At 45.9% G+C, this 26,768-nt stretch overlaps 1 pseudogene, besides 12 other annotated features; it reads left to right on the top strand.

Moving 5' to 3' along the window:
• Nucleotides 8,433–8,933: an enhancer, noted in NCBI's record as "H3K27ac hESC enhancer chr10:95049831-95050331 (GRCh37/hg19 assembly coordinates)". NCBI's record gives its function as "activates a minimal SCP1, AML or CMV promoter by ChIP-STARR-seq in naive H9 embryonic stem cells {active_cell/tissue: H9 hESC(naive)}" and the evidence as "EXISTENCE:reporter gene assay evidence [ECO:0000049][PMID:30033119]".
• Nucleotides 8,934–9,434: an enhancer, noted in NCBI's record as "H3K27ac hESC enhancer chr10:95049330-95049830 (GRCh37/hg19 assembly coordinates)". NCBI's record gives its function as "activates a minimal SCP1, AML or CMV promoter by ChIP-STARR-seq in naive H9 embryonic stem cells {active_cell/tissue: H9 hESC(naive)}" and the evidence as "EXISTENCE:reporter gene assay evidence [ECO:0000049][PMID:30033119]".
• Nucleotides 8,934–10,517: a biological region, named in NCBI's record as "P300/CBP strongly-dependent group 1 enhancer GRCh37_chr10:95048576-95049775".
• Nucleotides 8,989–10,188: an enhancer, noted in NCBI's record as "P300/CBP strongly-dependent group 1 enhancer chr10:95048576-95049775 (GRCh37/hg19 assembly coordinates)". NCBI's record gives its function as "activates an origin of replication core promoter dependent on BRD2, BRD4, P300/CBP, MED14 and CDK7 cofactors, with strong dependence on P300/CBP, by STARR-seq in HCT116 cells {active_cell/tissue: HCT116}" and the evidence as "EXISTENCE:reporter gene assay evidence [ECO:0000049][PMID:35650434]".
• Nucleotides 9,744–10,517: an enhancer, noted in NCBI's record as "H3K27ac hESC enhancer chr10:95048247-95049021 (GRCh37/hg19 assembly coordinates)". NCBI's record gives its function as "activates a minimal SCP1, AML or CMV promoter by ChIP-STARR-seq in naive H9 embryonic stem cells {active_cell/tissue: H9 hESC(naive)}" and the evidence as "EXISTENCE:reporter gene assay evidence [ECO:0000049][PMID:30033119]".
• On the top strand, nucleotides 14,428–15,041 carry RPL17P34 (ribosomal protein L17 pseudogene 34; annotated as a pseudogene).
• Nucleotides 16,205–16,873: an enhancer, noted in NCBI's record as "H3K27ac-H3K4me1 hESC enhancer chr10:95041891-95042559 (GRCh37/hg19 assembly coordinates)". NCBI's record gives its function as "activates a minimal SCP1, AML or CMV promoter by ChIP-STARR-seq in naive H9 embryonic stem cells {active_cell/tissue: H9 hESC(naive)}" and the evidence as "EXISTENCE:reporter gene assay evidence [ECO:0000049][PMID:30033119]".
• Nucleotides 16,874–17,543: an enhancer, noted in NCBI's record as "NANOG-H3K27ac-H3K4me1 hESC enhancer chr10:95041221-95041890 (GRCh37/hg19 assembly coordinates)". NCBI's record gives its function as "activates a minimal SCP1, AML or CMV promoter by ChIP-STARR-seq in naive H9 embryonic stem cells {active_cell/tissue: H9 hESC(naive)}" and the evidence as "EXISTENCE:reporter gene assay evidence [ECO:0000049][PMID:30033119]".
• Nucleotides 17,544–18,211: an enhancer, noted in NCBI's record as "OCT4-NANOG-H3K27ac-H3K4me1 hESC enhancer chr10:95040553-95041220 (GRCh37/hg19 assembly coordinates)". NCBI's record gives its function as "activates a minimal SCP1, AML or CMV promoter by ChIP-STARR-seq in naive and primed H9 embryonic stem cells {active_cell/tissue: H9 hESC(naive and primed)}" and the evidence as "EXISTENCE:reporter gene assay evidence [ECO:0000049][PMID:30033119]".
• Nucleotides 21,568–22,445: an enhancer, noted in NCBI's record as "H3K27ac hESC enhancer chr10:95036319-95037196 (GRCh37/hg19 assembly coordinates)". NCBI's record gives its function as "activates a minimal SCP1, AML or CMV promoter by ChIP-STARR-seq in naive H9 embryonic stem cells {active_cell/tissue: H9 hESC(naive)}" and the evidence as "EXISTENCE:reporter gene assay evidence [ECO:0000049][PMID:30033119]".
• Nucleotides 24,810–25,376: an enhancer, noted in NCBI's record as "H3K27ac-H3K4me1 hESC enhancer chr10:95033388-95033954 (GRCh37/hg19 assembly coordinates)". NCBI's record gives its function as "activates a minimal SCP1, AML or CMV promoter by ChIP-STARR-seq in primed H9 embryonic stem cells {active_cell/tissue: H9 hESC(primed)}" and the evidence as "EXISTENCE:reporter gene assay evidence [ECO:0000049][PMID:30033119]".
• Nucleotides 25,377–25,943: an enhancer, noted in NCBI's record as "OCT4-NANOG-H3K27ac hESC enhancer chr10:95032821-95033387 (GRCh37/hg19 assembly coordinates)". NCBI's record gives its function as "activates a minimal SCP1, AML or CMV promoter by ChIP-STARR-seq in naive and primed H9 embryonic stem cells {active_cell/tissue: H9 hESC(naive and primed)}" and the evidence as "EXISTENCE:reporter gene assay evidence [ECO:0000049][PMID:30033119]".
• Nucleotides 25,944–26,511: an enhancer, noted in NCBI's record as "OCT4-NANOG-H3K27ac-H3K4me1 hESC enhancer chr10:95032253-95032820 (GRCh37/hg19 assembly coordinates)". NCBI's record gives its function as "activates a minimal SCP1, AML or CMV promoter by ChIP-STARR-seq in naive H9 embryonic stem cells {active_cell/tissue: H9 hESC(naive)}" and the evidence as "EXISTENCE:reporter gene assay evidence [ECO:0000049][PMID:30033119]".

The raw sequence follows: 26,768 nt of genomic DNA, 5'->3' as shown, positions 1-26,768 counted from the left end.
ATAGAGGCTGGAAGGTAATAGCCGTTCTGCTCTTGCAATTTGACCTTAGAAAAGAAATAAATCAACACTGTCCAAAATGAGACTGATTTTCCCTCAAGTTCTAAATGCACAATCAGAATTAAAGAAAGCAGGTAAAAAATATTAAGAAAGGCCAGACATGGTTTAATCTCACGGCTGTAATCCCAGCACTTTGGGAGGCTGAGTAGGGAAGATCGCTTGAGCTCAGGAGTTCAAGACCAGCCTAGGCAACATAGGGAGACACTGTCACTACAAAAAAATAAAAATAAATTGCCAGGGATGGTGGTGCGTGCCTGTAGTCCCAGCTACTCGGGAGGCTGAGGTGGGAGGATGGCTTGAGCCTGAGAGACAGAGGCTGCAGTGAGCCATGATCCCACCACTGCACTCCAGCCTGGGTGACAGAGTAAGACTTCGTCTCTAAAACAAAAAATGCTAGGAGAGTAGGGCAATTCCTCAAAAAATTAAATATATAATTACCATACAATCCAGTAATTCTACTTCTAGGTATATATCCAAAAGAGAAATTGAAAGCAGGGACTTTGAAGAGATTTTTGTACACCCATGCTCATAGCAGTATTACTCACAATAGCCAAAATGTAGAAGCAATCTGCTATAGACTGAATATTTGTGGCCCTAACCCAAATTCCTGTGTTGAAATCTGAACCCCCAAGGCAATGGTTTGTAATGGAACCATTACAAGGTGAGACTTTTGAGAGGTGATTAGGTCATGAGGGTAGGGGCCCCATGGCTGGGATTACTGTCCTTATCAAAGAGACTCACATAAGGTCCCTTGTCCTTTCCACCATATAAAGACACAGCAAGACAATAGTGACGAGGTGGCCAAGTGGTTAAGACACAGCAAGAAGATGGTCATCTGTGGCTGGGCGCGGTGGCTCATGCCTGTAATCCCAGCACTTTGGGAGGCCGAGGCGGGCGGATCACGAGGTCAGGAGATCAAGACCATCCTGGCTAACACAATGAAACCCCGTCCTACTAAAAATACAAAAAATTAGCCAGGCGTGGTGGTAGGGGCCTGTAGTCCCAGCTACTGGGGAGGCTGAGGCAGGAGAATGGCGTGAACCCAGGAGGCGGAGCTTGCAGTGAGCCAAGATGGTGCCACCACACTCCAGCCTGGGCAACAGAGTGAGACTCCGTCTCACAAAAAAAAAAAAAAAAAAATAGAAGATGGTCATCTGTGAACCAGGAAGCAAGTTAATTCTTACCAGACACTGAATCTGCTGGAGCCTTGAGCTTAGACTTTCCAACCTCCAGAAATGTTAGAAATAAATGTGTTGTTTATAAGCCCCTAGTCTATGGTATTCTCTAAGAGCAGCCCAAATGGACTAAGACATTCATGGATGGATGAATGGATAAGCAAAATGTGGTATCTACATACAATGGAATATTATTTGGGTTTAAAAAGAAAGGAAATTCTGTCCCATGCTACAACATGGGTGACTCTTGAAGGCAGTATGTTAGGTGAAATAAGCCAAATGCAAAAGGACAAATGTTGTATGATTCCATTTATATGAGGTTCCTAGAGTAGTCAAATTTATAGAGACGGCCAGGAGTGGTGGCTCATACCTGTAATCCCAGCACTTTGGGAGGCCCAGGTGGGCAGATCACCTGAGATGAGGAGTTCGAGACCAGCCTGGCCAACATGGTGAAACCCCCGTCTCTACTAAAAATACAAAAATTAGCAGGGCGTGGTGGCACATGCCTGTAATCCCAGCTACTCGGAAGGCTGAGGCAGGAGAATAGCTTGAACCTGAGAGACGGAGGTTGCAGTGAGCCGAGATCACACCACTGCACTCCAGCCTGAGCAACAGAGCGAGAGTCTGTCTCTAAATAAATAAATAAATCTATGGAGACAAAAAGTAGAATGGTGGCTGCCAGAGGAGGCTAGGGGAAGGGGAGGAATGGGGAGTCGGTGTTTAATGAGTACAGAATTTCCATTTTGTAAGATGAAAAGAGTTCTGTGGCGTGCAACAATGTGAATGCAATTATGCCACTGAACTGAACAGCTACAAGTAGTAAATTTTACATCATGCCTGTTTTATCACACACACAAAAGTGCTAAAAGAACGAGTGTCCTCTCAGACGATGCCTCCATGAAGTCAGGGGCCTATTTTTTCTCCTGTTCCCTACACAAAAGTAGGTCCCCAGGCCTCAGGAGACAGGTAATACTTGCTGATTGTCTGAGGAGTGAACCTTGTCTCATAACCAAAGCTCGGGTCACTTTGAGCCTTTTGACAGCTACCTCCAGCACCCACAGACACAGCTGATTTGGCCCAAACCACCTTTATTTAACTAGCTGACGATGTTTAACCATTGGAAAAAGTCACATTAAAGATTATATTTTGAGCTTTTCCCCACACATTGAAAAGTCTGCCAGCATTTCACTGTTCAGAAATTGTCTGGAGTCATGTGCCTGCCAGTCACCCCAAGTCCCCTGCCTTGCTCCATGGACGTTTGCTGCCCAGCTCCTCAGGATGCTGAGGGTGGGACGTGGGTGCATTTTGTTATCAAAGTAACCAGAGTAGGCTCGCCTCTAACCAAGACAGAGAATCAACCAGAAGTTCCCTGCTGGGCAGCACCCTCTACATGTCTCTGCCATTGTGGCCAGGCCCCTGCTCCCCATGGCTCCACGCTGGACTTCAGGGTAGCACCCTGCTCCTTCCTGGGCCCTCCTCACCCTCCCCAGCTGCTCCAAGTCAGCCATGACCCCAAGATTCTAGGGACATACAATCAGCATCTCCTGAACAGCCTCCTCTCAGCAATGAAAATTCACATGGCCAATATGGCAATGCTCAATTTGATTAAAAAGGAAGAAAATATAAATTAAAACCACAATGAACTATCATTTCACATACTCCAAATTGGCAAAAAATTTAAAAGTCTTTGACATCAAGACTCAAGAGGGCTGTGCAACAACATATATTTTTATACATAGCTGGTAGATGTTTAAACAGGTAAAACCACAGTAAAAAACAATTTGTCATTATCTACCAAAGGTATCAGTCCCTGCTCTGTGACCCAGCAACCCTACTCTTAGATTTGTACCCTAAGGAGACATTAACACAGCGCACTTGAAGAAAAATTTTTAAATGTTTGAAATTGCAGAACATTGGAGAAACTCTCATGTTTTCCATTAACAGTAGATTGGATAATAAATTGAGGTATAGTCATTTAATAAAATACTATAAAGTGGTGAATGTGAGTGCACTGTAGCTACACATTACAAATGAATAAATCCGAAACCAGAGGTACGTAATCTTTTGGCTTCCCTGGTCCACACTGGAAGAAGAAGTGGGCCACACATAAAATACATGAACACTAACGATAGCTGATGAGATTTAAAAAAAAAAAATCACCAAAAAAAAAACCTCTCATAACGTTTTAAGAAAGTTTATGAATTTGTATTGCGCTGCTTTCAAAGCCGTCCTGGGCTGCATGTGGCCTCTGGGCCGCAGGCTACACAAGCTTGGCCTAGAAGGAATGTTACAGCTGGGGGAATCTAAGGGATAATTCTTCCCTTATATCCACAGCATAGAAGCCCTGAACATAACTCCTAGAAATATTTTTTCTTTAAAAATTTTAAAATTCATTTATATTCACTGCAGATACTTTATTGGGAAAAAGCATAAAAAAGAACATTAAAAATCCATAATCTATCATGAGATAACTACTGTTAACATTATTTTGTGGTGTTTCCTTCTACTCTTGCCGTTTTTAAAGACATAAAATTGGGATCCCACCTCCAGAACTTCCCTGGCCTTGCCTTCATGATTCTCCAAGGCTTTTGTTTGTTTTTTGTGACAGGAGCTTGCTCTGTTGCCCAGGCTGGAGTACAGTGACACAATCATGGCTCAGTGCAGCTTTGACCTCCCCAGGTTCAGATGATCCTCCCACTTCAGCCCCCCACGTAGCTGGGACTACAAGCACGCACCACCATGTCTGGCTAATTTTTGTTTTTATTTTTGTTTTGGAGAAAAGGAGTTTTGTCTTGTTGCCCAGACTGGTCTCGAACTCCTGGGCTCAAGTGATCCAACCGCCTCAGTCTCCCAAAGTGCTGGGATTACCGGCATGAGCCACCATGCCTAGCCAACTCTCCAGTTTTATATCTTGCTTTTCTTCCCTCTCTTAAAATTGTATTTCATAGGCCGGGCACAGTGGCTGACGCCTGTAATCCCAGCACTTTGGGAGGCCGAGGTGGGCGGATCACGAGGTCAGGAGTTCGAGACCAGCCTGGCCAACATAGTGAAACCCTGTCTCTACTAAAAATACAAAAATCAGCTGGGCATGGTGGCGCGTGCCTGTAATCCCAGCTACTCGGGAGGCTGAGGCAGGAGAATCGCTTGAACCCGGGAGGCAGAGGTTGTGGTGAACCGAGATTGCGCCACTGCACTTCAGCCTGGGCAACAGAGCGAGATTCCATCTTAAAAAAAAAAATTGTATTTCATAAACATTTTCCACAATTTATGAATTTCAAAACCTAATTTATAATGGTCATTTAAAATTCCATCACATGGATCTACTCTAATTTAATCCCCTATCACTGAGGATATATGTAACAATATATATTGTTTCCAATTCTTTGCTATTTACAATGCTGCTTTAAACATCCATGGACAAAGATCTTTGCCTGTATTTTGGGGCCTCTAGATCTATTAAATTGTTAACAGTATAAGGTCAGGGACAATGTTTGTCTTGTTCACCCAACCTTGTGCATGAGATAGAGCAGCATCAATGAATGGGCAAATGAATTTCTTATTCATTCCTGAGTCAAAGGGGAATTCCTGAGTCAGAGGGCACGAGCATATTTAATGCCCTTGAGATACATTGCCAGTTGCTTCCTGAAATGTAGTACCAATTTATACCCCGCCCCAAGTAGAGTCTTGAGAAGGTTCCAGCCAGAATTAATGGCCATTCCTTAGCCACTCTTTCCATCTGCATGGGGTGACTTTCTCCACCTTGATTGCTGGCCCTCAAACGCAATGGGGAAGAAGGGGCCTGCCACAAGTCTGTTTTGAGGACCTCCTGTGGGGACAGTAGTCTCCCCTCTGGGTCGGGAGAAGTAGAGAAGTCCTCCAGTGCCCTTTAGAAAGAGCATGTACTTGGACTCTTTGCTCTTGGAAAATGTGAATTCTACTAAAGAATCCTCAATATGCTTCAAGTACGCTGAGCAAGTCCCCATCCAGGACGCTAAGATCTACAAGTCTGTCTTGAAGCCTCATCAATTTTCAAATTAAACTTCTTCATATTTCTTTTAAAAAGAGGAGAGGGCACTTTGAGTTCACTCACAAAAAAAGACAAAAAGTAGAATCAAGCAGTAAAATAGAATTTCCACAAGATTAAAATAAAGGTATAAGAAGAAAAGCAAATGTTCTAAGAGTCAATGTACTGCTCTGATTTGGGTTTAAAAAGTGACTTGGAACATCCGTGAGGGGAATATTTGTCCTCTGGCTGTTCTTAACTGGTTGGTAATATGAAAGGAAGATAAATCTTGGGACCTCAAAATCATTAAGCCAAAGGGAAAAGTCAAGCTGAGAACTGCTTAGGGCAAACTTGCCACCCATTCTATTCCTAAAAAAGATATTTATTAAAGGCCAGGCGCAGTGGCTCATGCCTGTAATCCCAGCACTTTGGGAGGCCGAGGCGGGTGGATCAGTTAAGGCCAGGAGTTCGAGACCAGCCTGGCCAACATGGTAAAACCCCATCTCTACTAAAAATACAAAAAATTAGCCAAATATGGTGGTGGGCATCTGCTACTCAGGGGGCTGAGGCTGGAGAATCACTTGAACCTGGGAGGTGAAGTTTGCAGTGAGCCAAGATCACGCCACTGCACTCCAGCCTGGGAGACAAAGTGAGACTCCATCCAAAAAAATAAATAAATAAAAGATATCTACTAAGATAAAAAAGCTACATACCTCCGTCACAAGGAAATTTGCTGTGGACAAAGGACAGACAGAACTCAAAGTCATCCCTCTGCTGAGATAAATGCATATCTGGTTGCCTCCTTTGAAAAGTCTCATTAGAAACTCAAAAGAATGCAACCTTTGTCTTGTGAACCCCAAATATCTGAGACAGGTCTCAGTCTATTTAGAAAGTTTATTTTGTGGCCGGGCTCGGTGGCTCACACCCATAATCCCAGCACTTTGGGAGGCTGAGGCGGGCAGATCACAAGGTCAGGAGATCGAGACCATCCTGGCTAACACGGTGAAACCCCATCTCTACTAAAAATACAAAAAAATTAGCCAGGCGTAGTGGCAGACACCTGTAGTCCCAGCTACTCGGGAGGCTGAGGCAGGAGAATGGCGTGAACCCGGGAGGCGGAGCATGCAGTGAGCCAAGATTATGCCACTGCACTCCAGCCTGGGCGACAGAGCAAGACTCCATCTCCAAAAACAACAACAACAACAAAAAAAAAAAAAAAAAAAAAAAAAAAACAAAAAAAAAAAAAACAGAAAGTTTATTTTGCCAATCTCTTAACTACCTATGATCTGGCCCTTCCCACTTTGAGTTGTCCTGCCTTTCTGAATGGAAACATATATTAATTCATGTCTCATGTCTCCTAAAACGGATAAAACCAAGCTGTGCTCTGACCACCCTGGGCACATGTCGTCAGGAACTCCTGAGGCTGTGTATTGGGCACGCATCCTTAACTTTGGCAAAATAAACTTCCTAAATTGACTGAGACCTGTCTCAGATTTTAGGGTTCATTGTAAAAACATACAGGCCTTCAGAAAAAAAGTTATTATACCAAAAGTGACAGAAATGGCTCATCAGGATCTTAGCGCAGGTCCTACATTTGTGAAGCTCCCATTAATATTCACTGTTCTTCTTATTTTTTTTTTTTTTTTGAGACAGAGTCTTACTCTGTCGCTCAGGCTGGAGCGCAATGGTGTGATCTCAGCTCACTGCAACCTCCCCCTCCCAGGCTCAAGCAATTCTCATGCTTCAGCCTCCCAAGTGGCTGGGATTACAGGCACCCGTCACCCTGCCCAGCTAATTTTTGTATTTTAAGTAGAGACGGGGTTTCACCATGTTGACCATGCTGGTCTTGAACTCCTGACCTCAGGTGATCCACCTGCCTTGGCCTCCCAAAGTTCTGGGATTACAGGAGTGAGCCACCGTGCCCACCCTTGTTGTTCTTATTTGTATATTTGTAGAGGGCAGAAATGTTTCCCATAACAGCTTTTAATAAAAGTCAGAGAATACTACAAAAGCAGTCCTTTGAAGAACTATGCTGAGATGGCTGGCATTCATACCTATTTCAAAGAGTACAGCTTTTAAATTCTTTCCCAAATATTTTTCCTTTCCCTGAGACGTTTGATAATGATCCTGATGGTGAAAAGATCAAAGCTCTGCTCTCAGGGAGGACGGGCCTCCAGGCCCTTTGCTGCTGCCGGGGGACATCTCTGTGAGCCCAGCATGCAGGTGGGGGTGGCATCCAGAGGTCACACCTGGGTGGAAGCCACGCCACCTCTGCGCAGAAGTGGGTCCATGCCAGTGCCACATGCACATACTCGCTCAGGCTCCTGCAGGCATGCTTGTTTCAGAAGCTTTCCCTCACTTGAGGGGGCCATCATTCATGCCCTTTTCTCACTCCCGACCCGGTCACAAGCCAAGCTTCTCTGTCCAGAAGGCTGGCACATTCAGACAGCATGATGATGGAAAAATATGAATACTAGTGAGACTGCTTTCTCTGCAGTACTCCTGACCTCAGAACAAACATGCCAGTGCTGGGGACACACACCATGCAGGTCCAGCAATCAGACCTCCTTGCAGTCACAAAGGGCAGTAACTTCGCGGGCTGCTGGGGACAGTCATGGGACATTGGTTGCTGCCAGGCATTTTAGAAGGGCCCGAAGAGGACACTTCTGTTTGAGCTGAGTCCAGGCCTCCTCTAAGGTGTCTGAGTCATCTCTGTCACCTCCTCTAGAATCCATCCCCTCACTCTGCTCTTCCTCTCCCACCCTCTCCTCCCTCTGCTGCTTTCCTCTCTGTATCTCTTGTCTCTCCATTTTGTCTTTAGCCCTTATAGGTGTTGTTACTGGTACAGTACAGGTGGTACCGGTGATGCTGGTACTTAAAGCTGGGAAACCTGCCAGCCCCCAACAGGAACAGAGACTCTGTCCTCTTCTTTCCCTGTCCCTGAAGCATCTGGCCTTGTGCCTGACCAGTGATGAGTGCGCCATACTCAGGTCTTGAATCAAGGAGAAAAGATGGCTACCCTGAGTTCAGTCACTCTGTGTGACATTGCTTTATATACTGGCATGACATATGACCCTTGGTGAACTTTTACCCAAATAGCCCAATACAAAGGGAAATTGACTAAAAACCTTTAGGTTTTGCCTGGAGGTTTAAAGCTTTCTGAAAGCCTTGCTTTAATTTATACATTTATTCTAATTCTTGCATTCCATTTCACAATCTTTTTACTTTAATCAGCTTTGATTCTGTCTAGTACTGCCTCAAATGAAAACTGCCTGTGTTTTCTTCATCCAACACAGAGGATACGTTGGGGGCAGTCCAACTTAAAATAGAGGCTATATGGCATATGTGATATTCACTTTGTGTTCCCTTCCATTCCAGAGAGTCTCAAAGAGAGAGGCTATTTCTCCTCCACCCTTTACATCCCCAGCTGCAAATAAATTGCTTCACATTCAAGCAACTCTGTGTCAAGTGCTCCAGGGTAAGTAGCAAAGAAATGTCTGTACATATAAATTCAATAATGGTTGGCTGGGCGCGGTGGCTCACGCCTATAATCCCAGCACTTTGGGAGGCCGAGGCGAGCAGATCATCTGAGGTCAGGAGTTCCAGACCAGCCTGGTTAACATGGTGAAACCCCATTCCCACTAAAAAATACAAAACTTAGCGAGGCATGGTGGTGCACGCCTGTGATCTCAGGAGGCTGAGGCAGGAGAATCGCTTGAACCCGGGATGTGGAGATTGTAGTGAGCTGAGATTGCGCCATTGCAGTCCAGCTTGGGTAACAAGAGCGAAACTCTGTCTCAAAAAAATAATAATAATGGTTAAGGTTCACCTGAGCAGTGCTGGGGAGGCCGGTTTATATAAAAACGAGGTTGTAAATAACTAATTAAATTACCAATCTCTCCACCACTGCCTTTGTCCATCTTCAATTATAATATATTCCAGAAACACACTCCACGTCTCTCCCATGGCTTTATACACACCCTGCACACGTACACTGGGAAGGCCTACAGTCCAGTTTGACGTGTGTTCACACACTCCTAATCTAGCACAGGGCCTGGTGCATAGTTGGTGCACAGAGGTCAATGAAATCCCTGTACTCAACAGCTCTGACCAGTCATCAAGGTGGTCACTGTCTTGTTGGAAAGGCAAACACATAAGCAAATCATTGAGACAAGATGTGACTACAGGGACTGATACATAATCACAGTAGAGAGTTGGAAGGGAAAGAAGAGAAAGAACTCAAAAAACGAAAGAGTGTGGGGAAATGGCCAAAAGTTGGGTCCAGAGTGGATGGGATGAGGTCAAATCCTGGTTCTCTTACTAGCACAGTGCCTAAAACTCAGCAAATGGGAGTTATTGTTGTTGTTGTTATTATATTATTATTATTTCAACAGAGGAATACAAATAGGTTAAGGATGGGTCTGGTAACATGGCCTAATGCACTGCTAAGGAGAATATTTCATCATGTAATAGAATCAGCCAAGGTTTCTTTGGGAGAAACGGCCATCACGTCTCCTGTGTTTCAAATACTGTCCACAAGATGGCAGCAGTGGCCTCAGGTTCTCACCGGGCCTAAAAGGCATTCCATTCAGTCTGCATTCCATGGAACCCCACCCCAGACAGGCATCTCTGGGACATATTTTAAGTGGAAGGCGACCAGCACCGCATCTAAACGATGCCCTTCCTTCTGGAATGCTATGGAAATCTATGACTAGACAGACAAAAACGCTCTGGCCTTGGGAAACGCTGGAACTCACGCATTCATTCGCCCCTTCATTCCTTCAACAATTATGTACTAAAAGCCTACCGCATCCCAGTTATCCTGCAAAGGAATAAAACAGAAGGGCCTGCTCTCATGACCCATAGCGAGTCGCAAATCAAACAGTGGTAGATCACAGGAAGGAGTCTCTCATGCAACGAAAAATTACAAGCCTGCAGACTGTCATAATACAGGATTGAAGGTTAAGCAAAGGAAAACAGACCTTGTGACGGGATGTCCATATTGGCTCTGCTGTACATACGGACAGGAGTGGCAGGGAACTTGAAGGAATAGAAATTGGTAGAATTGGCCAGGCGCGGTGTCTCACGCCTGTAATCCCAACACTTTGGGAGGCCGAGGCAGGCAGATCACGAGGTCAGGAGTTCAAGACCAGCCTGACCAACCTGGTGAAACCACGTATCTACTAAAAATACAAAAATTAGCCAGGCATGGTGGTGCACGCCTGTAATCCCAGCACTTTGGGAGGCCAAGGCAGGCAGATCACGAGGTCAGGAGTTCGAGACCAGCCTGACCAACATGGTGAAACCCCGTCTCTACTAAAAATACAAAAATTAGCTGGGCGTGGTGGCGCACACCTGTAATCCCAGCTACTCAGGAGGCTGAGGCAGGAGAATCGCTTGAACCCGGGAGGCAGAGTTTGCAGTGAGCTGAGATCGCACCACTGCACTCCAGTCTGGGCAACAGATCAAGATTGCCTCAAAAAAAAAAAAAAAAAAAAGGAAGAAGAAAGAAAGAGAGAGAGAAAAAAAAAGAAAGAGAGAGAGAAAGAAAGAAAGAGAAAGAAAGAAAGGAAAGAAAGGAAGAAGGAAAGAAGGAAAGAAAGAAAAAGAAAGGAAAAGAAAAGAAAGAAGGAAAGAAATTGGCAGAATTAAATAATGATTGAGGGGTTTGCCCTTGCAAAATTACTGAAGTTCTTTTTCTCCCCCTCCTTTAAGCTAGAAATCTGGGCTGGCTAATGGAAGCTGCCACCTGGAATGTCTGGGGCAGCCATGCAAGGTTACATTCCAGGCTCCAAGCAAAAAATGCCAGCAATTTACCTTTTTGTCAACTGCAAATTAAAGTAATTTCCAGGCAGAGGATTTCTCCTGCTTGTGATGAGCACCCCAAAACACCAGGGCTGTTTGCAGTTACCTGGCTGCTCTGCGGGGGAAACAAACCTGAGGCTGAAGGCACCTCAGGGTTGGAATCAAGGAAAGGTTTGCTTGGCTTTTCTTTCACTGAAGCACCAAATCAAGTGGATACGAAGTGGGAAGCAGGGAGAATGTCTTCTATCCCTAGCACTTTCTAGAATGTGGGACAAGAGAGGCACTCAGCTTTAAATAAATAAAGAGAAGGCGTATCTGCACCTGCTGTCATACCCAGCTCTATGATGACAATAAGATATACTCATCATTACCAAGAGTGCCATGCCAGGCAGACATGATGCTGAGAACGTTACAGCCACTTATCACTGAATCCTAAGGTGAAATAATTATTGGCGTTTTATAGATGAGCAATTTGAGGCTCTGTGAAGTTAAATGATTTGGAGAAAGTCACAGGTAGTAAATGATAAATGTCGGATTTAAACCCCCATTTGTCAAATTCCTCCTTACTTAACCCCATACAGCCAACCCAAGGTAGAGGTGGTGAGAGAGCCATCTCCTCACCGGAAGACATGAAGGCATATTCATTCACTGACTGAACAACTAGAGAGCACCCACTTTTTTTTTTTTTTTTTTTTTTTTTTTTGAGACAGTCTTGCTCTGTCATCCAGGCTGGAGTGCCAGGGCACGATCTTGGCTCATTGTAACCTCCACCTCCTGGGTTCAAGCGATTCTCCTGCCTCAGCCTCCCGAGTAGCTGGGATTACAGGCACCTGCCACCACGCTTGGCTAATTTTCATATTTTTAGTAGCGACAGAGTTTCACCATGTTGGTCAGGCTGGTCTCAAACGCCTGACCTCAAGTGATCCGCCCGCCTCAGCCTCCCAAAGTGCTGGGATTACAGGCATGAGCCACTGCGCCCAGCCTGAGAGCACCCAGTCTCTATCAGACCCTGAGCATGCAGAGGTAAGTAAGCACTGTCAACTGCAGAGTAAGGCAATTTCCAGGCAGAGGGCTTCTGCCAAGCTTGGAAACTGGAGATGAAACAGAATTTGCGCATCCCTTTCACTAAAGAGGGAGGCCAGTGCCTGGGACTCAGATCAAAAGCAAATGAACAAGGAACACTCACTTGCCAATAGCATGTTCATTTGGCTCATTAGAATGTCACCCATACTTAGAAGACAAGCTTTACGCCCCCTGTGTGCACCTGGAAAGAGACAAGGCCCACTCCTCCAACACATGTGCACACACGAACACACACACACACACACACACCCCTACCTACCCAATGTGAGGCCTGGCTGTGGACCTTGCAGATTCTGGGATCACTCCCAGTCATTTCCAGAGCCCTCCTTAACCTATTTCTAGTCCTCTGTTGAAGTAATAATAATTATAACAATAACTCACATCTATTGAGTTTTAGGCCCTGTGCTAATAAGAGAACCAGGATTTGACTATAGCCCGTCCACTCTGGACACAACTTTTGACCATTTCCCCACTGCACTCCCTCTCTCGTGTAGCTTCCAGCAGAGCCCTAAACAGCATGACCCCACTGGAACTCCCTCATCTTCCCTCATCTGTGGCATTTTGGGGCCTCCTTTTTCCCCTCTATTAGACTGGATGACCTGAGAGCTCTTCTAGCTTAAAGCTGCTGTGGGCTCTCTGTGGTCCCTCGTATAAGGGCACTCCTTTCATCCATGAGGGCTGCACCCTCATGCCTAATCACCTCCCAAAGGCTCCACTTCCCAATACTGTCACACTGGGGGTTAGGATTTCAACTTATGAATGGGGGGGTTGGGGGCAGGGGCAGGGACAGGCCAGGCACGGTGGCTCATGCCTGTAATTCCAGCACTTCGGGAGGCCAAGGCGGGCGGATCACCTGAGGTCAGGAGTTTGAGACCAGGCTGGCCAACATGGTGAAACCCCATCTGTACTAAAAATACAAAAAATTAGCCAGGCACAATGGCAGGTGCCTGTAATCCCAGATACTGGGGAGGCTGAGGCAGGAGAATTGCTTGAACCTGGGAGGCGGAGGTTGCAGTGAGCTGAGATCACACCATTGCACTCCAGCCTGGGCAACAAGAGCAAAACTCCATCTCAAAATAATAATAATAATTTGGGGGGACACATTCAGTCTATAACACTGATACTCAAAGCCTCAGTATTTCTTACTGCCTCTAAAAAGAAAAGGTTGAGGCTTCCTCTTTCTCCTCCAAGTCACTAAACCATCACCACTGTCCCACCTCTTCAAATCGGAAGTCTTCACAATCACTTACGAAGTTCTCCCCTCATCCTCATCACCACCCTCCTCTGCCCTCCTTGCCATTGTTCCTGGAAGACTTTGGTACCTGACACACTCTTGCCTGTCATCACTTATGGGGATACCCCCAATGCCTTGACCTTTGGCCTTCTAAGATGCTGTAACTTTCAGTCTTAACTCCACTGGAGGCACCCCCAACACCCCCAGCCCAGACACCACTCACACCTATTGGGCCTTGGGACACACCACCCCAAAATATGACTGTAGGAGACCAGAATATGCCACCCCAAAATATACTTCTTTGGCATATTTTGAGCTGCTTATTCTGAGAAACTGCAGGCACAGCAGTAGCTCTGAAAAGCTGTCATTTTATAAAAGAAATTTACATCCATAAAGAAAATGGACATTAGTAAAAAATATTTGTATCAGGAAGAGGGCTGCTCCAGAAAACGTTTATTGCCCGACTTTCATCTGCGTAACAAGACAACCTCCATTCACCACATATCTCCTCCCCTCACCCTCCCATTGCCTGTCTCTGCCACCCCCAAGAAGCTCTGGGCCCCTATTCCTGTCTTTAGCTCAGGATGCTGTATATAAGCTTCCATCTTCTGGCCCTTGTTCGAGTCTCATATTTGGTGTGACTCTCTGTGTATGCATGTAATCAAAATGCTTTTTCTCCTGTTCATTTGTTTTATGTCAATTTAATTTGTAGCCTGGCCGAAGAGCCTAGAAGGGTAGAGGGAAGCCATTTTTCCCTCCCCTACTAACCCTGTGGAAATACCTTGCCTTCAAGGTATGGGCTCCAAGTTCCTGACTCCCCCACAACCTTCAGGCCCTACAGAGACAGCATCAAGACCTGAAGTCCCCAATCCATCACCCCCTTACCCAACCCCACTGGTTCTTAGCCCACTTAACTTCCCCCATAGACAGAGCTAAGTCAGCCATTTCCCCTCCACCTGAGTTCTCTCAGCTCTCCTCCCCTACCCCTCTAAGTGCCTGTGAATTGACTCCTTCATTTTTTAACTTCAAATGCCACAATAACTTTACACAACTTCGCTCTTTCCCTAAGCAGCCTGAGGTAATCTGTGAAAATGGTTCGCTATTCACTTGACCTGGAGAACCCCATGAAATAATGCAAATCAAGAGTTCCAATCTTCGTGTTCACTTTAAGAACACTTGTGAAACTGCTCAGGCCATCAAGGGTATGCATATACGAAAAGCCACGAAGTATCTTAAAGATGTCACTTTACAGAAACAGTGCGTACCATTCCGACGTTACAATGCTGGAGTTGGCAGGTGTGCGCAGGCCAAGCAGTGGGGCTGGACACTCTTTCGGTGGCCCAGAAAGAGTGCTGAATTTTTGCTGCATATGCTTAAAAACGCAGAGAGTAATGCTGAACTTAAGGGTTTAGATGTAGATTCTCTGGTCATTGAGCATATCCAAGTGAACAAGGCACCTAAGATGCGCCGCCGGACCTACAGAGCTCATGGTCGGATTAACCCATACATGAGCTCTCCCTGCCGCATTGAGATGATTCTTACTGGAAAAGGAACAGATTGTTCATAAACCAGAAGAGGAGGTTGCCCAGAAGAAAAAGATATCCCAGAAGAAACTGCAGAAGCAAAAACTTATGGCACGAGAGCAAATTCAGCATTAAAGTAAATGTAATTAAAAGGAAAAAAAAAAAAAACTTTACACAACTTCTCCATCTTCTTTTCCTTCCTCTTTCTCAGAAACAGTTGCCGCTCCCTGCCCCCTAAACCTACTCCCCTCTAAGCTTTGAGTTAGGGACACCTCCTCCAGGAAGGACCTGTCTTACTCAAATATTTCCTCTGTTTCTGGCACCCTCAAACTCGCTCTCTCTTCAGGCCACTGCCCTCAAACTACAAACCTGCTCGGGTCTTCCCACCAGCTTGGGAGGAGTCCCCAGCTGGACGGAAGATATGTTTCCTGCCTTCCTTCTCCCGCCATGCCTGCTTTTGAAGACTCACTCTTCACGCCCGATTCTCACAATGGCTTAGCTGCCATGTTGTCAGAGGCGTGTGAACCAGAGCAACTCCATCTTGAATAGGGGCCGGGTAAAATGAAGCTGAGAACTACTGGGCTGCATTTCCAGATGGTTGAGGCATTCTAAGTCCCAGGATGAGCTAGGAGGTCAGCACAAAATACAGATCATGATGACCTTGCTGATAAAACATGTTTGCAGTAAAAAAGCTGGCTAAAACCCACCAAAACCAAGATGGTGATGAGAGTGACCTCAGTCACTGCTACACTCCCACCAGCACCACGGCAGTTTACAAATGCCTTGGCAATGTCAGAAAGTTACCCTATATGGTCTAAAAAGGGGAGGATGAATAATCCACCTCGTTTAGTATGTCATCAAGAAATAACCATAAAAATAGGCAACCGGCTGGGCGCAGTGACTCACACCTGTAATCCCAGCACTTTGGGAGGCCGAGGCAGGCGGTTCACCAGGTCAGGAGTTCAAGACCAGCCTGACAAACATAGTGAAACCCTGTCTCTACTAAAAATACAAAAAGCTAGCTGCCCATGGTGGCAGGTGCCTGTGATCCCAGCTACTCGAGAAGCTGAGGCAGGAGAATCGCTTGAACCTGGAAGGCGGAGGTTGCAGTGAGCTGAGATTGCGCCATTTGCACACCAGCCTGGGCAACAGCATGAGACTCCGTCTCACAAATAAATAAATAAGTAAATAAATAGGCAACTAGCAGCCCTCAGTGAAGTAGCCCTTCTTTTATTCCTTTGCTTTCTTGATAAAGTTGCTTTCACTTACTCTATGGACTCGCCTTGAATTCTTTTTTTTTTTTGGAGATAGAGCCTCACTCTATCACCCAAGCCGGAGTGCAGCGGCACAATCTCAGCTCACCGCAACTGCCCACTCCCAGGTTCAGGTGATTCTTGTGCCTCAGCCTCCTGAGTAGCTGGGATTACAGGCGCCCACCACCAGGCCCGGCTAATTTTTGTAATTTTAGTAGATCCAAGGTTTCACCATGTTGTCCAGACTGTTCTCAAACTCCTGACCTCAAGTGATGTATCTGCCTCGGCCTCCCAAAGTGCTGGGACTACAGGCGTGAGCCACCACGCCCAGCCCTTGAATTGTTTCTTGCACGAGATCAAAGAACCCTCTCTTGGGGTCTGGATCGGGACCCCTTTCCTGTAACAATGTCATTCCTCTGAAACACCACTGTCCAGTCACCAACAACTCCTACTTTCTAAATCTAATGATCTTTCCCTACTTCTTATTCCTTGTGACCAACACAAGTAGAATCTGCTGTCAAACCCAGGTCCTTTGTACTCCAGACGTCTTAACGTCTCCTTGACATTGACTCTCAGCTCTAAATTTCCTGACTTTGTTGGGCCTCAGTTTCCCTATCCATTAAAGGAGGAAAACAAATGCCAACATCATAGCATTGTTGTGGGCACTGAATGAGATCCCACATGCCTGGCATATTGAAGGGGCCCCTAAGTGGTTATTATTAGTGTCGCCTTCTCTCTTGTGCTGAGAGAATATCTCAGTTGTTGCCGGGCACGGTGGCTCACGCCTGTAATCCCAGGACTTTGGGAGGCCGAGGTGGGCAGATCACGAGGTCAGGAGTTTGAGACCAGCCTGGCCAGCATGGTGAAACCCCGTCTCTACTAAAAATACAAAAATTAGCCAGGCATGGTGGTGGGCGCCTGTAGTCCCAGCTACTTAGGAGGCTGAAGCAGGAGAATTGCTTGAACCCCAGAGGCGGAGGTTGCAGTGAGCCAAGATGGCGCCACTGCACTCCAGCCTGGGTGACAGAGCGAGCCCCTGTCTCAAAAAAAAAAAAAAAAAAAAAAAAAAGAATATCTCAGTTAACCTGTAATCCACCAACAACAGCAATCACTGTGGCCTCGTAAGGGCAGACTCTTATGGCTCTAAGAAAATCCAGGTATTTGCCTTGCACACAGTAGGTACAGCATAAGCTCACTGTTGAGGGTAATGATTGCCTTGTAACCTCTAGCTGTTTCCTCAGTCTTTTTAATTTCCACAAACCACAAATGCTTTTTCTGCCATGGACTTGGCTGCTTAACGGTTTCAATCCTTTGAAAAGGAAAATGACTCCTTTATTTTTTACTTACTGTGTTTGGGGAGTCCTTTGATGTTCCAAAGGCCTTTCAAGACTGCCTCCTTAGAAATAGGAGCTTGGCTTTTGCCACAGGGAAGTGAACTTGAACCCCAAAGGTTGAGCTGGGACCCCGGAGTCCCAGGCAGGCGTGTTCCTCACAGGCCCCAGGCCTGACCCCAACCTGGAGCTGGGAGAAAATGCTATTTGCAAACTCTTCATCCTTCTCAAAGCTGTCATTTTCGTCAGCCCCACTGGGCATTTTGACAAATGCCTTTGCTAATTACTTAATTATTTTGGCCTGCACAAGTGTGGGAGCTGTTTTCTTAAAGAAAAGAGGGCTTAGCCAGTCCATTCTTATCCATGCAAGGCCTGAAAGTAGCCCATTTCAATCCTATTAAAGTGTTTGGGTAACTAAGAACCCCCACCCGTCAAATTAACTCAAATACATTATGATGCAAGAACCCAGAGGCACAAAGCCCCCCTTCCCCAAAGCCAGGCTAAAACTAGCACTTGTTTTCTTACACCACCGGCTTGTTTCTTCTAGCTCAAGCCTCTTTTGCATAGGAAAGAAACCTGTGCTTATCTGCAGACTTTCAATTAAAGAAACAATTAGGCTAAATGGTAAATGCTTAAATGAGTCTCTCCTGGAATTAGCCAGGAGTGTGAGTCTGCCACCCAGTCATCAACACAGTGGGGTGCTCGGGCAGCCGGAAAGCCCTGCAGATTCCGCCCTGGAAGGGGGTTGAACTGGCCCTGCTGGGCCCGGCCTGCCCTGACAATCTTAGTCTTGCTAATACTCTCTCTGCGCATCCTCTCCCTCAAGTGCTACCAAGCAGCACTTAGCACCTGGTCGTGGGCCGGATTGTGTCTTCGTTGAGCACTGGAGAAAAGGCTGTTGACTAGTTCATTGGCTCAGAATACACGGAGGCCACAACAATCTCAGAATCAGCCCCAAAATGCATTGCACTTGGAGGCCTGAATCATCCAAAGTGGTTGTCCACCCTGATCAGATACACAGCCAATGGCCACAGCCAGAGGCTGGCCTGGTGCCTGGCACATGGTAGATAGATGCCCCATAACTGGGTATGGAATAAAGCTGGGGTATGCCTATCCTGCTGGGGTATCCAGCCTGCAGGAGGAATCTCAGGGCACAGTGGAGTCTTGGTGAATCAGTGGAGGGGGCTGGGGGCTCACAGAGGGCTCCAATTAGGGTTGACCCAGGTATTTGTTTGCACAGCTGGGACCAGAGAAACTGAGCTGACCCAGGTCTTTCTCATGAAAATTCAATGAGGGCAAAGCTGCCCCTGAAAATACCAACATTTTGCATTGTTAAGAATCAAGTCATAAACGCTTCAACTAGCTTTAGATGAAGCGATCTTAGAGATACATGCCTTTCTTTACCCACAAGAAAATTGAGGTGTGGAGAAGATGAGTGATTTGTCTAAAGTCACACAGCCAGTTGGAAAACATGAGAAGTGCCTATTTGCTGTAGAGGCTGAAAAGGTAAAATTCCTAGGGAAAAATTTAACAAGAAGAAAACTCTATTTTTTTGGAGACAAGATCTTACTCTGTTGCCCAAGCTGGAGTGCAGTGGCATGATCACAGCTCACTGCAGCCTCCACCTCCCTGGGCTCGGGTGATCCTCCCACCTCAGTTTCCAGAGTAGCTGGAACTACAAGCACAAGCCACCACACTCAGCTACTTTTGTATTTTTTTAGAGACAGGGTTCACCATGCTGCCAAAGCTGGTCTAGAACTCCTAGGCAATCCTCCCACCTTGGCCTCAAAAGGATTGCAAAGTGCTGGAATTCCAGACATAAGCCACTGTGCCCGACGGAAAACTCTCAGGTTCGAATGGGGTTCATAAAAGAAAACAGGAGTAAATGTGAAAACATGCCCTGCTTTTGTATTAATTCTCCCTAATTTAATCTATAGCTCAATGCATTTCCAATTAAAATGTCAAGAAAATGGGGTAAAGGGGCTTGATAAAATGATATTTATTTATTTATTTTATTTTTAAATTTTTTTGAGATGGAGTCTCACTCTGTTGCCCAGGCTGGAGTGTACTGGCACCATCTCGGCTGAGACCTCCGCCTCCCGGGTTCCAGTGATTCTTCTGCCCCAGCCTCCCGAGTAGCTGGGATTACAGGCACCCGCAATCATGCCCGGCTAATTTTTGTATTTTTGTAGAGATGGGGTTTTGCCATGTTGGCCAGGCTGGTCCTGAACTCCTGACCTCAGGTGATCCACCTGCCTCAGCCTCCCAAAGTCCTGGGATTACAGGCATGAGCCACTGTGCCCGGCTATTTAAATTTATCGGAAAAAATAAACGTGAAAATGACTAGAAAAGGTCCAAAGAAGGATAATCGGTCACACGCGGTGGCTCACGCCTGTAATCCCAGCACTTTGGGAGGCCAAGGCAGTCGGATCACTTGAGGTCAGGAGTTCCAGACCAGCCTGGCCAACATGGCGAAACCCTGTCTCTACTAAAATACAAAAATTAGCTGGGCGTGGCAGCAAGTGCCTGTAGTCCCAGTTACTTAGGAGGCTGAGGCAGGAGAATCACTTGATCCCGGTAGGTGGAGGTTGCAGTGAGCCAGGATCATGCCACTGCACTCCAGCCTGGGTAACAGAGCAAGACTTCGTCTCAAAAAAAAAAAAAAAAAGGATAATCAGGGAGGACTACTCCAACTAGATATTAAAATACATTATGAGAGCCAGATGTAGTGGCTCATGCCTATAGTCCCAGCACTTTGCAATCCTTTCAAGGCCTCAGGAGGCTGAGGCAGGAGGATTGCTTGAGCCCAGGAATTTGAGTCCAGCCTGGGCAACATAGCAAGACTCTGTTTCCAAAAAAAAAAAATTAAGAAACAACAATAATTTTAAAGGTTTATGATGGAGAAAAAATAGTATAACAAAATTGGAGGGGACCAGAAATAGGGTGAAATACATGCAGAAATTTAGTTTATGGGGAAAGTGGCATTTAGTGAGGAAAAGAGAGATCACTCAATAAATCATTTGGGGACCACTGAAAATCAGTTAGAAAAAATAATGAAGTTAGTTAGACCCCCATTTCAACCCTTAACACCAAAATTAATTTTGGTTAGATAAAAGATTTAAACTTTAAAAAAATCAAACCACAAAACGTCTTGAAGCAAACATGTAAAATGTATCACATAAGAGTGGAAAAGAACTTTCTTTTTGTTTATTTGATTTTTGTTTTTTAGACGGAGTCTCGCTCTGTCACCCAGGCTGGAGTGCAGTGACACAATCTCAGCTCACTGCAAGCTCCGCCTCCCGGGTTCACACCATTCTCCTGACTCAGCCTCCTGAGTAGCTGGGACTACAGGTGCCCGCCACCACGCCCGGCTATTTTTTTGTGTTTTTAGGAGAGACGGGGTTTCTCCATGTTGTTCAGGCTGGTCTCGAACTCCTGACCTCAGGTGATCCGCCCACCTTGGCCTCCCAAAATGCTGGGATTACAAGTGTGAGCCACTGCACCTGGCCAAGAGTGGAAAAGAACTTTCTAAGTAGATCACAGAACCTTGAAGCCAAAGAAACGACTGATAAATTTGACTAGATAATACACAGCCAAAAGAAATTCTATGAACAAAATAAGATAACATTGGAGATAATTGTTTGTGATCTTTGACTGATAAAAGTTTCATTTCCTGTTTCACAAAGAGCTCACACCAATCAGCAAGATCTATATGTACAGCTCAATAGAAGAATAAGCAAAGGGTATGAACAGGCAGTTCACAGAACAAAAGAACCAGGGTAACCAGGCAGAACTTACAATGGTCCTGCTTCAGCTCATTAAGCAATCTTTCCTATGACTTATTTTCATCAGAAAATCCATCAGTGGAATTTTTAGTTGTACATTTGCTTAGAATCGTCATTGTTATTTTTGTTCTCCCTGAGCCAGCTCTTCAATGGGCAGAGTCCCAGGCATAGCTAGCAAAGCCAGGAAAACGCAAGGGCCACTTCACACTGCTTGCCAGCCAAGTAATTCACTGCCAGCCCTCCTTGGTGTCTCCAGATGTGCAGGTCACCAAGCCTTTTAAATTCCATGCTGGGGTGGAGAAGGAGAAAGCCATTGGGCAGGTATGGGGCTGCCCTCCAGCATTTGAGAAAGGGAACCAAACCCACGCCATCTTAATGTCACCAAACACTCATTCGTGCCACCTCCTGGTAATACCTTAACCCTCTTGGCTTCCATAAACATGGAACCCACTGTTAATGCTCACTCACCATGGAGTTGGGCTTCCTGCAAATCCAACTACACATGTATATATATATATATATATTTTTTTTTTTTTTTTTGAAGTAGGGTCTTTCTCTGTTGCTCAACTGTTGCTCAAGCTGGAGTACAGTGGTACAACCTCGGCTAACTACAGCCTCGACCTTCTGGGCTCAAGCGATCCTCCCACCTCAGCCTCCAGAGTAGCTGGGATCACAGATGCCCACCACCGTGCCTGGCTAATTTTTGTATTTTTTGTAGAGATGGGGCCCCACTATGTTGCCCAGGCTGGTCTCGAACTCCTGGACTCAAGCCATCTGCCCACCTTGGCCCCCCAGAGTGCTTGATTACAGGTGTGAGCCACCGTGCCCAGCCTCCTCCAACTACCTATAATGCAGAGAACCCAGAGTGCAGGCAAAAAAAAAAAAAAAGCCTCTTAAACAGATGTCACTCTTTACCCCATAAGACTGACTCTCCTTGAACGCTCTTCAGTTCTGGGTTTATGTACATTTCCATTGAGACATGCTCTGCGAATTTCTCAGAGTGCAGCATATGAAGACTGCAGACAGGGGTCTGCCATGCTAACAGACCCATACCAGAAAGGCTGATCCAAGGCCCACTGAGCGAAGTGCAGTACTGAGGTGATGCCTCAGGGACAGACTGAAAGAAGGGCCATGCATAGTTCTGCTGTGTTTAAGAAAAGGCAGCATGTCACCCATTTGAAAAATAAAATGGGCCAGATGCGGTGGCTCACACCTGTAATCCCAGTACTTCGGGAGGCCAAGGCAGGTGGATCACCTGAGGTCAGGAGTTTGAGACCAGCCTGGCCAACATGGCAAAACCCCAGCTCTACTAAAAATACAAAAATTAGCCAGGCATGGTGGCACGTACCTGTAATCCCAGCTACTAGCGGGAGCTGAGGCAGGAGGATTGCTTGAACCTGGGAGGCGGAGGGTGCAGTGAGCGGAGATTAAGCCACTGCCCTCCAGCATGGGCAACAGAGCGAGACTCTGTCTCAAAAAAAAAGAAAAAAAGAAAAGAAAAGAAAAAGAAAAAGAAAATGGGCTGGGTGTGGTGGCTCACGCCTGTAATCCCAGCACTTTGGGAGGCTGAGGCGGGAGGATCACCTGAGGTCAGGAGTTAGAAACCAGCCTGACCAACATGGCGAAATCCCGTTTCTACTAAAAATACAAAATTAGCTGGGCGTGGTGCCATATGCCTGTAATCTCAGCAACTTGGGATGCTGAGGCACGAGAATCACTTGAACCCAGGAGGTGGAGGTTGCAGTGAGCCAAGATCACACCATTGCAACAAGAGCAAAACTTGTTTGCAATGGTGTTTGGGCAACAAGAGCAAAACTCTGTCTCAAAAAAAAAAAAAGAAAAAAAGAAAAGAAAAAGAAAATAAATTTCATCCTAGAAAGAATCAGCTTCAATGACTACCTTAAAATCACCTACTGTGGAATATCAATAAATGAGGTATTGATGAAGTTTGAGGTCAGTCATTCCCCTACTTATTTTCATTCTCTTTAAGCACAGACCATGCCACAGGAACAAGAACAGTGTGGACTCTGATACAATACACAGCACTGATCCGCACATAAACTCATGATTGCTGTTGCCCTATGTGATTGGCATCAACAGGAAACATAAAGGACTAAGTCTCTATTCTTTTACTGTTTTCCTGTTGCAAATTTACCAGACTTTCCGTTTCTTCATTTACACACTGGGAATAAAAATACTCACTAGTAATATTTCGTTGCAGGCGTTAACCGAGGCATGTCAGAGGCCCAAACAGCACCTGGCACATAGCAGGCAGGCAATAAATAGAACTTTGTTGTTGTGGTGGTGGTTATTGTTGTATTTCCATCATGTTAATATCCCAATTTCCAGATTAGAATCTCAGAATCAATCACCATTTTTTCTTATAACATTAAAGCTCTCTCTCTCACATATACACACGTACACACACACACACACACACACCCCTTATACATCTTAAAACACAAAAATTCAGGATCTTGGGATTAATTCTTTATTACTTTTTCAATTCCCACAATAATAACAATAGCTAACACTTTTCTAGAGCTCTCTGCACGCCAGGCACTGGTCTAATTGTTACCAGAAAGGAGTCTCGATCCAGACCCAAGGGAGCGTTCTCAAATCTTGCCCAGGGAAGAATTCGGGGCAAGTCCATAGAGTAAAGTAAAAGCAAGTTTATTCAGAAAGTAAAGAAACAACAGAATGACTATATCATAAACGAGTACCACTGAGGGCTGCCAGCTATTTCTATGTGTATTTCTTGATTATATGCTAAACAAGGGGTGGATTATCCATGAGTTTTATGAGAAAAGGGCAGGGATTTCCCCAGGAACTGAGAGTTTCTCCCCGTTTAGACCATATTGGGTGACTTTCACTACAAATTGCCATGCATTTGTAAACTGTCATGGCACTGGTGGGAGTATCTTTTAGCATGCTAATGTGTTATAATTCACGTGTAATGAGCAGTGAGGACGACCAGAGGTCACCATCTCGGTTTTGGTGTGTTTGGCCAGTTTCTTTACTGCATCCTATCTTATCAGCAGGGTCTTTACGACCCATAACTTGTGATACCAGTCTTGCTGACCTCCTGTCTCATCCTGTGACTAAGAATGACTGACCTCCTGGGAATGGAGCCCAGCAGGTCTCATCTTATCTTACCTAGCCCCTATTCAAGATGGAGTCACTCTGGCCTCTGACATAATGATTTTACATGAGTTAACTCATTTAATTCTCACAGCAGCCCTATGAGGGAAATATTTGTATTATCTCCCATTTTACAGATGAGAAGATTGAACACAGGGAAATTAATCACATTAACAAGATCTTATAAGTAGCAGGCCTGAAAAGCATTGCTTTGTGGAAAAAAGCAAGATAATTAAGAGTGTGTTGTGGCTGGGCACAGCGGCTCATGCCTGTAATCCCAGTAATTTGGGGGGCTGAGGCAGGCAGATCACTTGAGGTCAGGAGTCCAAGACCAGCCTGGCCAATGTGGCGAAACCCCATCTCTACTAAAAATACAAAAATTAGCTGGGCATGTTGATGTGCACCTGTGATCCCAGTTACTTGGGGGGCTGAGGCAGGAGAATCGCTTAAATGCAGGGGGTGGAAGTTGCAATGAGCCAAGATCGTGCCATTGCACTCTAGCCTGGGTGACAGAGCGAGACTCCATTTCAAAAGAAAAGAGTGTGTTGTGTTGTATAGACTGCCCAAATGTAAATACACACATATACATACATACATATTTATACATATGTGTATTTTTACATATAGAGAGAACATGGGAACTAGGGTTCAAAGGGAAACTTGGTTTTCACTTCTGAACCTTTGGAATTTTTCATGCACATTTTACTTATTTAAAAATTAATTAGGCCAGGCGTGGTGGCTCACACCTGTAATCCCAGCACTTTGGGAGGCCGAGGCAGGCGGATCACTTGAGGTCAGCAGTTTGAGACCAGCCTGACCAACATAGTGAAACCCTGCCTCTACTAAAATACAAAAATTAGCTGGGCATGGTGGCACATGCCTGTAATCCCAGCTACTCGGGAGGCTGAGGCAGGAGAATCGCTTGAACCTGGGAGGCAGAGGTTGCAGTGAGCTGAGATCACAACACTGTACTCCAGGCTGAGTGACAGAGCTAGACTCCGTCTCAAAAAAAAAAATTAATTAATAATTGAAGAGTTCTCCAGCTCAAGCTGGGTCACTCCTCTCTGGAGTCCCCTGCCCCTCAAAGCAGGCTCAGACCTGTTTCTGCACACATAGGCCAGCTATCTGGGCCGGGGCGCCAGCCCCAGGTTACAGGCAGGCTGGTGACTTGGAAATGGAGTTCATGTCCAGAAACCTTGTGGAGAGTGGGGAGGAAGTCATATGTTCTTGGTGCCACCCCCATCCCCTCAACTCAGCTTTTTTATCTGCACCAGGCTTGGAAGTAGAATGTCTGCACCCCCAACACACACACACACACCAGCACAAAGAAGACCCCCTCCTCTCTCCACCTGATTTCCATTGCCTGCCCTTCTTTTCAGGCCAGACAAAGCCTTGCATTCCCAATTAGCCACCAAGGGTTTAAAATGCAAATTTCTGGAGGAGTTCACAACCTGTGTGAAAGTTTCCATGTAGGTGTTAATTATTTCCACCTCCTCCTTCCTGGGCTGGGCAGGGTGAGAGGAAGCAAGCCTGGTGGGACTGCTGGCCAGAGGTGAGTGCCCCGGGTGGAAGGGAGGGCGCCTCCCTAATCCTCTCCCATTCCAGTTCCCTACTCGCTCTGGACAGGACGTGCCATGGCCCCTGAAGCTCCCTTCCCTGTCACTATCTCCATCTCAAACATGTCTCCCGGCAAGAAAGCTGGACAGGGACACAGAGGAGACAGAAAAATAACCTCCTGGCATCTCTTGCTTCAAATCCTGATCCCTCCTGGAGGAGGTGCAGACCCTGAAAGGAAGATCCAGGGGTCCTGAGAGAGGGTCCACCTAGTAGACGAGTCTTGTTCCCTGTGGCCCCAGAACAGGAAAAGAGTAGAAGCCACTAGGAATGGGAAGGAATGTGCTTAGTAAGTACCCAGCACACAATAAATCCGTAAGTGATACCTAATATCTGTATTTTTGGCTGAAAAATTGCAAGAGCAACACGTTTGTTGCAAATGTTCAAACATTATGGAAGAGTATGAAAAGTAAAACTCCACCCTGCCCCCAGAGTTTAGGTTCTTCCAGAACTTACTTTTTTTTTTTTTTTTTTAAATTGAGACAGGAGTCTTGCTCTATCACCCAGGCTAGAGGCAGTGGCACGATCTCGGCTCACTGCAACCTCCGCCTCCCGGGTTCAAGTGATTCTCCAGCCTCAGCCTCCCAAGTAGCTGGGACTACAGGCATGCATCACCACGCCCAGCTAATTTATGTATTTTTTTTTTAGTAGAGATGGGGGTTCACCATGTTGGCCAGCCTGGCCTCGAACTCCTGACATCAGGTAATCCACGCGCCTTGGCCTCCCAAAGTGCTGGGATTACAGGTGTGAGCCACCGCGCCTGG

Source organism: Homo sapiens, chromosome 10, assembly GCF_000001405.40.
Source record: "Homo sapiens chromosome 10, GRCh38.p14 Primary Assembly".
Lineage (NCBI taxonomy): Eukaryota > Metazoa > Chordata > Mammalia > Primates > Hominidae > Homo > Homo sapiens.
The sequence above is the reverse complement of the archived record's forward strand: the minus strand, read 5'-3'. Positions and strand labels throughout refer to the sequence as shown.